This window comes from Homo sapiens, chromosome 15, assembly GCF_000001405.40.
Source record: "Homo sapiens chromosome 15, GRCh38.p14 Primary Assembly".
In the NCBI taxonomy this organism is placed as follows: Eukaryota; Metazoa; Chordata; class Mammalia; order Primates; family Hominidae; genus Homo; species Homo sapiens.
In genome coordinates, this window is record NC_000015.10 from 43,831,515 (window position 1) to 43,845,015 (window position 13,501).

General features: G+C 40.8%; 1 protein-coding gene across 2 annotated transcripts in view; it reads left to right on the forward strand.

Annotated features, from left to right (window-relative positions):
• The window catches only part of WDR76 (WD repeat domain 76), a 41,411-nt gene that overhangs the window by 4,513 nt on the left and 23,397 nt on the right, over positions 1–13,501 (forward strand). For both annotated transcript variants that reach the window (NM_024908.4, NM_001167941.2), the window contains exons 3-8: positions 3,547–3,636; positions 4,647–4,702; positions 8,091–8,214; positions 10,901–11,002; positions 11,114–11,157; positions 12,387–12,540. In NM_024908.4, the coding sequence (NP_079184.2) occupies positions 3,547–3,636; positions 4,647–4,702; positions 8,091–8,214; positions 10,901–11,002; positions 11,114–11,157; positions 12,387–12,540 (570 nt within the window). The remainder of the gene's footprint in view (positions 1–3,546; positions 3,637–4,646; positions 4,703–8,090; positions 8,215–10,900; positions 11,003–11,113; positions 11,158–12,386; positions 12,541–13,501) is intronic.

A 13,501-nucleotide genomic window follows, 5' to 3' on the forward strand; every position in this document is an offset into this window, starting at 1 on the left:
TGCAACCTTCACCTCCCAGGTTCAAGCGATTCTCCCATCTCAGCGTCCCGAGTAGCTGGGATTACTGGCGTGTGCCACCATGCCTAGCTAATTTTTTGTATTTTTAGTGGAGAAGGGGTTTCTCCATGTTGGCCAGGCTGGTTTTTAACTCCTGACCTCAAGTGATCTGCCTGCCTCAGCCTCTCACAGTGCTGGGATTACAGGCGTGAGCCACCGCGCATGCCATGTCTTTCTTTCTTGGTTTATTCTTTCATTTTGGTGAAGTACAGCTTTCTGAGAAAAAGTGTATACGAGGCAAATACTTTGCATATCAGAGAAATTTTTTTGTTTTTTTTTTTGAGACGGAGTCTCACCTGTCGCCCAGGCTGGAATGTAGTGGTGCGATCTCAGCTTACTGTAACTTTTTGTTTTTTTAATAGAGATGGGGTTTTACCATATTGGCCAGGCTGGTCTCAAACTCCTGACCTCGTGATCTGCCGGCTTCAGTCTCCCAAAGTGCTAGGATTATAGGCGTGAGCCACTGCACCTGGCCCAGAAAAAGTCTTTAGCTTTATATTTGATTGATGACCTAATTGGATTTAGAATTGTAAGTTGAAAATAATCTTTCCTTAGAATTTTTAATGCATTGTTCCATTGTCTTCCAGCTTCCTTCAATGTTGAAAGTTTGTGCCATTCTGATTCTGGATTCTTTGTGATCTTTTTTTCCCCTCTGCATGCTTTTAAGATCTTTTCTGGCTGGGTGTGGTAAGGCAGGCCTGTAGTTTCAGCTTCTTGGGAGGCTAAGGCTGGAGCCCAGGAGTGCAAGGCTGCAGTAAGTTATAATCAAGCCAATGCACTTCAGCCTGGGTGACAGAGTGAGACGCTATCACTTTAAAAAAAAAAATTGTGATAACATGCCGAGGCCTGGGTTCATCTTTGTTTTTTTTTTGTTTTTTTGTTTTTTTTTCTTGAGGTGGGGTCTCACCCTGTCGCCCAGGCTGGAGAGCAGTGGCACAGTCTTGCCTCACTGCAACCTCTGCCTTCTAGGTTCAAGCGATTCTCCTGTCTCAGCTTCCTGAGTAGCTAGGACTACAGGCATGCGCCACCATGCCTGGGTAATTTTTGTATTTTTAGTAGAGATTAGGTTTCACCATGGTGGCTAGGCTGGTCTCGAACTCCTGATCTCAGGTGATCTGCCCACCCAAAGTGCTTGGATTACAGGCATGAGCCATTGCACCCGGCTTGCTTTGTTTTTTTTTTTTTTTTTTTTTTTTTTTGAGACAGTCTCGGCTCTTGCCCTGGCAGCTAGAATGCAGTGGTGTGATCTCGGCTCACTGCAACCACTGCCTCCCAGGTTCAAGCAACTCTTGTGCCTCAGCCTCCCAAGTAGCTGGGATTACAGGTGTGCACTACCACACCCAGCTAGTTTTTTTGTATTTTTAGTAGAGACGGGGTTTCGACACGTTGGCCAGGCTGGTTTCAAGTTCCTGGCCTCTAGTGATCTGCCTGGTGGCCTCCCAAAGTGCTGGGATTACATGCATGAGCCACTGAGCTTGCTTGCCTGGGTCCTTTTTCATTCATTATGCATCCAAAGGCTGCATACTCATTGGGCCTTTTTAATCTGGAAGCTCATGTCTTTAGTTTTGAGAAACTTTAAAATAATATTTGTTTTCAAACTATTATTTTTTAGAGATGGGGTCTCACTCTGTTGCCCAGGCTAGAACACAGTGGTGTCATCATAGCTTACTACAAACTTGAACTTCTGGGCTCCAGTGATCCTCCTGCTTTGGTCTCCCACTTAACGTTATTTTTCTTTCTTTTCTTTTCTTTTTTTTTTTTTTTTGAGATGGAGTCTGGCTCTGTTGCCCAGAGTGGAGTGCAGTGGCGCCATCTCGGCTCACTGCAAGCTCCGCCTCCCGGGTTCATGCCATTCTCCTGCCTCAGCCTCCTGTGTAGCTGGGACTACAGGCGCCCACCACCATGCCCGGCTAATTTTTTGTATTTTTTAGTAGAGATGGGCTTTCACTGTGTTAGCTAGGATGGTCTCGATCTCCTGACCTTGTGATCTGCCTGCCTCTGCCTCCCAAAGTGCTGGGATTACAGGCGTGAGCCACTGCTCCCAGCCCTTTCTTTTTTTTTTTTGTTTGTTTGTTTTTTGAGACGGAGTCTTGCTCTGTGGCCCAGGCTGGATGGAGTGCAGTGGCATGATCTGGGTTCACTGCAACCTCCATCTCCCGGGTTCAAGCAATTCTTCTGTCTCAGCCTCCCGAGTAGCTGGGACTACAGGCGTGTGTCACCACACCCGGCTAATTTTTGTATTTTTAGTAGAGACTGGGTTTTGCCATGCTGGCCAGGATGGTCCTGATTTCCTGACCTGGTGATCTGCCTGCCTCGGCCTCTCAAAGTGCTAGGATTACAGGCGTGAGCCACCACACCCGGCCTGCCATTTATATTATTTTTTAATAATTGATTCTCTTCCAATTTCTCAGCAGTTTCTCGAACAATGAATTGGATATTGGACCTCTAAGACTGAGTATTTTTTTGTCTTTTCTGTTCATGTGTTTATCTTTTTGTTCTACTTTCTAAATTTAAGCCTTTTCATGGATTTAAAAACTATTGAGTTCTTATTTTTTGAATTTTCTTTTCTTACAGTATTTTGCTATTTCCTGAATATACTGCCTTATATCTCAGGGTTTTAAAAAATTAGCTTACTGTTACATTAGTGGCTTTTTAGGAGAAAGTAGAGACATGTACTTACTCACTCTACTGCGTTTAAGGGAAGTTTTTTTGTTGGAAAAAAATAACTTTTTTTTTTTTTTTTTTTGAGACGGAGTTTCGCTCTTATTGTCCAGGCTAGAGTGCAATGGTGCGATCTCGGCTTGCTGCAACCCCCACCTCCCAGGTTCAAGCGATTTTCCTGCCCCGGCCTCCTGAGTAGCTGGGATTACAGGCTCCTGCCACTATACCTGGCTAATTTTTTTTTTTTTTTTGTATTTTTAGTTGAGACAGGATTTCACCATGTTGGCCAGGCTGGTCTCGAACTCCTGACTTCAGGTGATCTGCCCACTTCGGCCTCCCAAAGTGCTGGGATTACAGGTGTGAGCCACCACGTCTGACCAACTTTTATATTTTTAGTAGAGATGAGGTTTCACCATTTTGGCCAGGTTGGTCTTGAACTCCAGACCTCAGGTGTTCCATCCACTTCAGCTTCCCAAATTGATGGGATTACAGGCGTGAGCCACTGCCCCTGGCCAAAAATAACTTTTGTGTAATAGTACAATTAATTGCCACTAGGAAATAATTTGCTACTAGATCATACTACTTGATTTCTAATATCAGATCACTTCTTAACTGGGAAGCCATACAGATATTTTGGGGGTATCCCAAATCCAGACTTACTGAAATATCCAATTCAGCAAACGTCTGTTTTGGTAAGATGATGAAATGAATAGAGATAGTACAATTTGAAGTAAAGTATTCATGTAGAAAATGAAACATGTAGTTTTGTGAAGTGCTTTTCCTGTAGATTATATAAAGTAATGGAATCTTTTTGGTGTAATTTTATAGGATTTTTCGGGATTGTCACCCTACGAAAGGAAGAGACTGAAGAACATATCAGAAAACGCAGACTTTTTTGCTTCTCTTCAGTTGTCTGAGGTTTGTGTGGAGTCTATTTAAAAGCAAGATGCAGGGCCGGGAACAGTGGGTAGCGCCTGTAATCCTGTCACTTGGGGAGGCTGACATGGGAGAATCGCTTGAGGCCAGGAGTTCGAGATCAGCCTGGGTAACATACGGAGACCCGCCCCCCGCCCCCCGCCCCCCACCCCAATCTCTATAAAAAGTAAATTAGTTGAGCATAGTGATGCATGTCTGGAGTCCTAGCTACTGGGGTGGCTGAGGTGGAAGGATGGCTTGAGTTTGGAAAGTCAAGGCTGCCGTGAGCTATGATCATGCCACTGCATTCCAGCTTGGGCAACAGAGCCAGACCCTGTCTCAAAACAGCAACAACAAGAGCCGTAAAACCCAAGATGTCATAACTCCCACCAGGTCAATAACATATCAGGTTTCATAGTGTCATATGAGGGAGGGTAAAATTGGAGCAGGTTTTGTGCTTAATAGGAAGAGGTTACTGTACTCTGTTGATTCTAAGGCATTATTTTTTTTGTCTTTTTTTTTTTTTTTGAGACGGAGTTTTGCTCTTGTTGCCCAGGCTGGAGTGCAATGGCACGATCTTGGCTCACTGCAACCTCTGCCTCCCGGGTTCAAGTGATTCTCCTACCTTAGCTTCCCAAGTAGCTGGGATTACAGGCGCCCGCCACCACGCCTGTAATTTTTGTATTTTTAGTAGGAATGGGGTTTCACCATGTTGGTAAGGCTGGTCTCGAACTGCTGACCTCGGGTGATCTACTTGCCTTGACCTCCCAAAGTGCTGGGATTACAGTTGTGATCCACCATGCCTGGCCTGTCTTTTTTTTTTTTGAGACAGGGTCTCGCTGCGTTGCCCAGGCTGGAGTACAGTGGCGCTGATCATGACTCATGGCCTATCTTAAGGATCTTTAGTTCCTGAATAGACCTTAGTTTAGTGTGGGTATAGTAGCAGATGCTTAATATTTTAAAAGGTAAGATACGTAGTTATAACATTTTTACATGATTTTTATACTTTACAGTCTGCTGCAAGACTCCGTGAAATGATAGAGAAGAGACAGCCTCCTAAATCCAAAAGGTAAAATATCTAGTTTGCAATGCCTGAACCATGATACATTGCTCAACTGTTTTATAATTTGAAAAAAATGGTTTGGTGTGGTAAGCTTAACAGATCATAAAGTGCTATTTAATCTCAGTCCCTCTAGGATCTCTGAGGGAATGCTACCCTTTAATAACTTTACAATTCTCATCTTCATCAAAGGAATATGGAGCAAATAAAATGGAGAGCTGAATTTTGTTTATATTTATTGTTGCTACTAATGAAGGGAAATCTTTATTTCCACTAAATTACTGTCACTTAGAAAACTATTAAAGATTCTTCTACTTACTTTTAATTTTTCTGGCTATCTTTTTGCGTCTCAATTTGTTTTTGCTTTCTTAGTCCTAGAATAAAGGAAAGGAATTAACATTTATTGAATATCTCTGAAACATACTGCAGTGATCTAGCAATTTTGTCCTATATTATCTCATTTAACTCTGACAACCACTGCATGTGGTAGGTAATATATTCATTTTGTGAGTTAGAAATCAGGCTCAAAAGATAAAATTGTTGGCTGGGTGCAGTGGCTCATGCCTATAATCCCAGCACTTTGGGAGGTTGAGTCAGGGGGTCACCTGAGGTCGAGAGTTCAAGACTGGCCTGACCAACATGGAGAAACCCCATCGCTACTAAAAAAAAAAAAAAAATTAAAAATTAGCCGGGTGTGGTGGCACATGTCTGAATCCCAGCTACTCAAGAGGCTAAAGCAGGAGAATCGCTTGAACCCGGGAGGCAGAGGTCATGGTGAGCCAAGATTGCACCATTGCACTCCAGCCTGGGCAATAAGAGTGAGACTCCATCTCACAAAAAAAAAAAAAACAAAAAAAAACAACTATTTGCTGAAAGTCAAAACAGCTTATAAGTGGTAGCTTTAGGATTTGAACTCAAGGGTGTTTAAATTTTGAATTATCTCCATTGCATTTTAGCAGTGCTTACATATAAATGAAGAAACTAAAATCTTGGTATCATTAGCTCATTTGTTTAGTGCCAGTTCCTAATGAAATGTAGCTTCATTTACTTGGTTTGATTCTGTTACAGGACAATTAGCTTGAGAAAAGCTGGACCTTTAATCATGGCCAGGTATTTTCAAGTGTGAAAAGTTACTATAAGAGGAACATCATTAACACTGGAAAAACAGTAGCACTGGTCCTGTTGCCCGCTGATTAGTAGCTTTACATTTGCATTTTTTTATTAGCCAAGATTGGTGATTTCTTCCTAAATCACAAAATTCTAGCCCTTAATAGTTGTATAGGCAGTAGCAAGTTGATAGTATGGAAGTTGTGTAATGTAGCGCAGAAGTGTAGCCTTTGAGATTTAGCAAATTTGGGTTCAAGTTTTGATTCAGTCACTTACAGCTATGACAGTAACCTTGGATACTTTATATAATTTTTCTTTCTGTAAAGCTGGCATTATGCTAATCTAGAAGGATTTAAATTTTTTGAAAATTATTAAATATACATATAAAAAGGTACATATAATGTATTTGTGTAGTTGAAAAATTATACAGGTCCCATCCATGTACCTGCCATCCAGGTTAATAGAAATTACGAATACCCCTGAAGGCCCATATATACCCCTCCCTCCCGATACAACCACTATGCTGAATTTTGTGGTAATATTTCCTTGCATTTATTTATTGCTTTTTTTTTTTTTTTTGAGATGGAGTCTCGCTCTGTTGCCCAGTCTGGAGTGCAGTGGCGCGATCTCGGCTCACTGCAACCTCCACCTCCCAGGTTCATGCCATTCTCCTGCCTCAGCCTCCCGAGTAACTGGGACTATAGGCGCCCGCCACCACGCCCGGCTAATTTTTTGGATTTTTAGTAGACGGGGTTTCACCGTGTTAGCCAGGATGGTCTCAATCTCCTGACCTCGTGATCCGCCTGCCTCGGCCTCCCAAAGTGCTGGGATTACAGGCGTGAGCCACTGTGCCCAGCCTATAGTTTCATTTTTATTTATTTATTTTTTTGAGACAGAGTCTTGCTCTGTTGCCCAGGCTGGAGTACAGTGGTGTAATCTTGGCTCACTGCAGCCTCTGCCTCCCAGGTTCAAGCAATTCTCATGCCTCAGCCTTCTGAGTAGCTGGGATTACAGGTGCTCATGACCATGCTCTGCTAAATTTTGTATTTTTAGTAGATACGGGGTTTCGCCATGTTGGCAAGGCTGGTCTGGAACTCTGGACCTCAAGTGATCCACCCACCTCAGCCTCCCAAAGTGCTGGGATTACAGGTGTGAGCCACTGTGCCTGGCTATTGATTTATAGTTTTACTACCAGTGAGTGTATCCTTAAACACTATATTGTTTAGCTTTGTCTTTTTTTGGTGTTCACATACAATATGCCTTTTTTATATTCTGAGATTTTCTTATTTTGCTCATCTTTACATATTTATGCTTTTAAATTTACCCATGTTGATGCGCACAGCTTTATTTCGTTCTTTTTTTCTGCTATATGATATTCCACTGTATGAATGTACTACATTTTATTCTACTGTTGATGAACAATTGAGTTGTTATTTTTATTATGAAAAGTGCTGCTCCAAACATTCTTAAGTCTCTTAGTGCTTATGTATGGGAGTTTCTCTAGGAGTAGATTTCTAGGATTGTATGACAGCCCATATTATTCCATATACTCAGGTGTCTTTTTTGAGGATTAAATATGAGATGGAATGTTGACTACAGTTTTTAGTATATAGTATACTTTCAATCAGTAGGTTTTACTAATTCTCGAAGTAATGTGGACTATAACTGATAATTTTTTATGTGAATTTTTGGAAATAATTTCAGAGGCTTCTCTTTCCCCAACATTTTAAAATGAATTACTTTTTTAAAAATGAAAAAATAGTGCATAAAAAAATAGAGAATGTATATTATTTAAAAAGTAAACTACAGTGTATGGAAGGGAATGCAGTGAAACGTTTTAAGTTTCCTTCCTATTTTAGACCTTAGTTTTCCAGGCCTTTTCCCTAGAAGTAGTAGTTTTATGTGTATTCCTCCAAAGGTAACCTCAGCATGTACAAATGTATGTGTATATGTAACCTTTTTGTATACATGTACTGGACTTTGTTTTTGCTTTTTATAACCAAGGGTTCCTTTCAGCAGTGCATAAAGATCTATATCATTCTTTTTATGGCTGCGTATTATTCTATTAGATATGTATACCATAATTTAACAGACCTCACCTCTTTTTGATGAACATTTAGGTTTGTTTTTTCCATACTTCTTATTAAGATAATTGTGGCCATGTATATATATATCTATGCAGTTTATAAATATATCTGTGGTATATATTCCTAGAAGTTATCTCTTTAGTATTAGTAAATACATTTTATTGTTTTGTGAGTATAACATGAGTTTTTCCCCACTCCTTTAGAAAGAAGCCTAAGAGAGAAAATGGGATTGGATGTAGAAGGTCAATGCGATTACTAAAAGTTGATCCTTCGGGAGTTTCATTACCAGCAGCTCCAACACCGCCGACATTAGTAGCAGATGAAACTGTAAGGAAATGTGCAAATATAATATTTTAATGTAATAAAATACTGAAAAATTTGAAGTGTTGAAACTAGACTAAAAGTTCATTAAATTATGTTTAATTTTATATTTCATTAATACTTGAATGTTGTATGGTTTTGTTTTGTTTTTTTGAGATGGAGTCTCACTCTGTCGCCCAGACTGGAGTGCAGTGGCATGATCTTGCCTCACTGCAACCCCCTCCTCCCGTGTTCAAGCGATTCTCCTGCCTCAGCCTCCCGAATAGCTGGGATTACAGGCACATGCCACCATACCTGGCTGATTTTTTTTATTTTTGGTAGAGACGGGGTTTCACCATGCTGGCCAGGCTGGTCTTGAACTCCTGACCTGAAGTGGTCTGCCTGCCTCGGCCTCCCAAAGTGCTGGGATTACAGGTGTGAGCCACTGTGCCCGGCCCATTTGTACGCTTTAATGAGTAAGATTTCGAAGTCGTAAAGACTGTATTGGATTCTGTATTTCTGCAGGACTTACCTGCTTAGGATTGTGGGTGAGTTAATTAACCTTTCTGATTGTTTCTCCATTAAAAAAAAGTCAGCAATAATAGAACCCTCAGTAAATATGTACAATTTTATGTCAGTTTAAAAAAAAAACCTCAAAGAGCTACTGTAAAGATAAATGAAATCATATCTATAAAGTTTCTCACATATTAGGGGCTTAGTAATCAATAGAATATAGTTATTAATGTTAATAAATACGTGATAATGTGTAGTTTTAGTGAGTAGAGTTTTATTTAGCAAACATTTTCTAAATATTTTTTATTCAAGAACACCTATTTTTAATACTTTATATGTAAGTGTTTAATTGTAAATAGGAAGATAGCACTAATTAGGCTGGTGTTTTGGGAGCAAATTGCAAATCTAGGTGTTATGGGAAGCAGCATAGAAGAGTAGCTTCAAATTTTTTTGAAGCCTCAGCCCACAAGAAATATATTTGTGGCCAGGTGTAGTGGTTCATGCCTGTAATCCCAGCACTTTGGGAGGCTGAGGCAGGAGGATCGCTTGAACCCAGAAGTTTGAGACCAGCCTAGGCAACATCAAGAGACCCTGTTCTTACAAAAAAAATACAAAAATCAGCTGGGTGTGGTGGCATGTGCCTGTAGTCCCAGCTCCTCAGGAGGCTGAGGTGGGAGCATCACTTGAGACGTTAATTTAAAAATATATATATATATTTATTTACATTGTAACTATCACACATATATGCAACTGAAACCACAGTTTGTCAAACGACACTTAATACATGTGGTGCACTTTGGTATTTCTTTTTTTTTTTTCTTTCTGAGACAGAGTCTCCCTCTGTCACCCAGGCTGGAGTGCAGTGGCACAATCTCAGTTCACTGCAACCTCCGCCTCCCGGGTTCAAGTGATTCTCATGCCTGAGCCTCCAGAGTAGCTGGGACTGTAGGTGTGTGCTACCACGCCTGGCTAAGTTTTGTTTTTTTGTTTTTTTTTTTTTTTTTTTGAGACGGAGTCTCAATCTGTTGCCCAGGCTGGAGTGCGGTGCTGTGATTTTGGCTCACTGTAAGCTCTGCATCCCAGGTTCATGCCATTCTCCTGGCTCAGCCTCCGCTGGGACTATAGGCACCTGCCACCACGCCCGGCTAATTTTTTTGTATTTTTAGTAGAGATGGGGTTTCACTGCGTTAGCCAGGATGGTCTCAATCTGACCTCATGATCTGCCCGCCTCGGCCTCCCAAAATGCTAGGATTACAGGTATGAGCCACCGCACCCGGCCCACGCATGGCTAATTTTTGTATTTTTAGTAGAAATGGGGTTTCGCCATGTTGGCCAGGCTGGTCTGGAACTTCTGGCCTCAAGCTATTTGCCTGCCTCAGCCTCCCAAAGTGCAGGGATCACAGGTGTGAGCCATGTACCTGGCCTGGTATTTCTATTCTATTCTCATTCACTACAACAAATTGCTAGTTGTGACATACTAACATGATTTCTCACCCACTAATTGGTTACAAACTGTTTAAAAAAATACTGATGTAGGTATAATACTGAGTAATGAGTTAAGATAATCTGAGTCAATTCTCAGCTTCTCCAGTTATTGGCTGTGTGACTTTGGGCAAGTTAACTCCTCTTAAGTTTCTGGGGTTTTTTTGTTTTTGTTTTTTGTTTTTTTTTGAGATGGAGTCTTGCCCTGTCACCCAGGCTGGAGTGCAATAGTGCAGTCTTGGCTCACTGCAACCTCCAACACCTGGGTTCACACGATTCTCCTGCCTCAGCCTCCTGAGCTGCTGGGATTACAGGTGCCTGCCACCACGCCCAGCAAATTTTTGTATTTTTAGTAGAGATGGGATTTCACCATATTGGCCAGGCTGGTCTCGAACTCCTGACCTTGTGATCCGCCTGCCTCGGCCTGCCAAAGTGCTGGGATTACAGTCTCTAAGTTTCAATCCACTGTCTTTAAAATGTGATACCTCATTTGCTAGGTTGTTGAGAGGATTAAATGAGATAATACATGTTATTATTACTTTATAGGGTACCTGGCATTCATTTATTGAACAATTATTTTGAATGTCCATGATATGCCACCATTACTGTTGATGTTGAAAGTGAAGTTGTGGGGAAAACAGACAAATACCCTTGCCCTCCTTGTGTTTATATTCTAGGGCAGGGAGCCCAACAAATAACTTTTTATTTTTTATAACAGCCTTTGTTACCTCCTGGGCCTTTAGAAATGACTTCTGAAAATCAAGAAGACAACAATGAACGATTTAAAGGATTTCTGCACACATGGGCAGGAATGAGCAAGGTATCACTTGGGAAGGCCAATAGCCTTTAGAATCATCTGTTAAGGAAATATATATATATGTAAAAATATATACATACTAACTTAGTTCTTTCATCTCTCCCAATGTTTCAGCCAAGTAGTAAGAACACTGAGAAGGGATTATCTAGCATTAAAAGGTAAGTTGAAATTCCTTGTGTTTCTTTTATATTTTTTGAGATGTTTGAGTTATAAAGACTATACGCCATTTTAGGGAATTTTGAAAGTGAGATGAAATGTTTCCACCCTAACAACTGTTGTTTTTGTGTATTTCCTCACAAGTGTTGCCATATACAATACCACTAGGATATAAGCTTCATATACAATACCACTAGGATATAAGCAAGAATTCTATTTCAATAACCAGAACAGTGCCTGGCACATAATATATGTTCAGTGTTGAATAAATGAGTGAATCCACATACATTTTTACTATATGTTGTAATGTATATACAATTTTGCATTACACTTTTTTCTTTTTCTTTTTTTTTTTTTTTTTTTTTGTTTTTTGAGACAAGGTCTCCCTCTATCGCTTAGGCTGCAGTGCAGTGGCACTATCTTGGCTCATTGCAACCTTCGCTTCCTGGGCTCAAATGATCCTCCCACCTCAGCCTCCCAAGTAGCTTGGACTACAGGCGTGCACCATCACATCTCACTAATTTTTGTATTTGTAGAGATGAGATTTTGCTGTGTTGCCCAGGTTGGTCTTGAATACCTGGGCTCAAGTGAGCTGTCTGCCTTGGACTCCCAAAGTGCTGGGATTACAGGTGTGAGCCAGTGTGCCTGGCCTGCGTTATGTTTTTTTTCATTTGCGGTTGCATGTTACTAGAGTCTTTAAAATTATTGAATAATTATAAAATATTCCATTGAGTAGAAGGAGTTCACTTCTCCTCCTACCTGCTTGGTATTTGCGGTTGTTTTCCATTTAGCTTTGTGTGTTTGTGTATGTGTTTGTTGAAGTATATGGATATGATAGTGGATTATTTCTTTAGGTTAGATTTCCAGAAGTGAGATTAATGCATCAAATATTGTGAACATTTTTATGGCTTTTAGTACACATTGCCGAATTGTTGCTCAAAGGTCTTTTTTTTTCTTCTGAACATTTTATATGAACTTACTCTTCCACTAGCAATATGTGTGAGTATGTGTATTTAACTGCAGCCTACCAGCTTTTGGTGTTATTAAAATTATCAAGGGTAATTTAAAAAGTGAAAGAATATTGCTTAATTTGATTTCCTTGGTTACCAGGAGATTGAATAGTTCCCATATTTATTTGCTAATTGTGATTTTTCTTTTTGAATAATCTTTTACTTATTTTGACTATTGAGATTGGTTTTACTTACAAAATTTAACTTTGTAATTTTCTTAGCTACAAAGCCAATTTAAATGGCATGGTCATTAGTGAAGATACCGTTTACAAAGTTACCACAGGCCCAATATTCTCTATGGCTCTCCATCCATCAGAAACTAGAACTTTGGTAGCAGTTGGGGCCAAATTTGGGCAAGTTGGACTTTGTGATTTGGTAAGTTATTAAATTTCTTGAATATATTATAGTTTGACTAAAGCAAATAGGCTGGAAGAGAATAGGCTAGAGCCATGTGTTTATAAATGTTGCGTGAGACTTACAATTTTGGGCTTTATGATGCTTTATGATTCCAAATTTTAGAAATCTGGAAGAATTTAAATTTGCTTTATAGAACTTTAATATTTTTAGCTTGAATATCATTAACCATCTGGTCATAAATTAACTGCCAGAAAACTTTGTTACACTTTGTGTGATCTTTTCACATATACATTTAAAGTGGCCGGGTGCGGTGGGTCACGCCTGTAATGCCAGCACTTTGAGAGGCTGAGGCGGTCGGATCACCTGAGGTCAGGAGTTCGAGACCAGCCTGGCCAACATGGTGAAACCCCGTCTGTAGTAAAAAAATACAAAAATTAGCTGGGCGTGGTGGTAGGTGCCTGTAATCCCAGCTACTCAGGAGGCTGAGGCAGGAGAATTGCTTGAACCCAGGAGACGGAGGTTGGAGTGAGTCGACACTGTGCCATCCAGCCTGGGTGATAGAGTAAGACTCCGTCTCAAAAAAAAAAAAAGGGCTGGGAGCGGTGGCTCACGCCTGTAATCCCAGCACTTTGGGAGGCCGAGGCGGGTGGATCACGAAGTCAGGAGATCGAGACCGTCCTGGCTAACACAGTGAAACCGCGTCTCTACTAAAAAACCCCATCGCTACTAAAAATGGAACAAATTAGCTAGGCGTGGTGGCAGGTGCCTGTAGTCCCAGCTACTCGGGAGGCTGAAGCAGGAGAATGGCGTGAACCTGGGAGGGGGAGCTTGCAGTGAGCCGAGATCGCACCACTGCACTCCAGCCTGGGCGACAGAGCGAGACTCTGTGTAAAAAAAAAAAAAAAAAAAAAAAAAAAGATCAAAGTTTAGTTTTCTTTTTTTGGAGAGGGAGTCTTGCTCTGTCGCCCAGGCTGGAGTG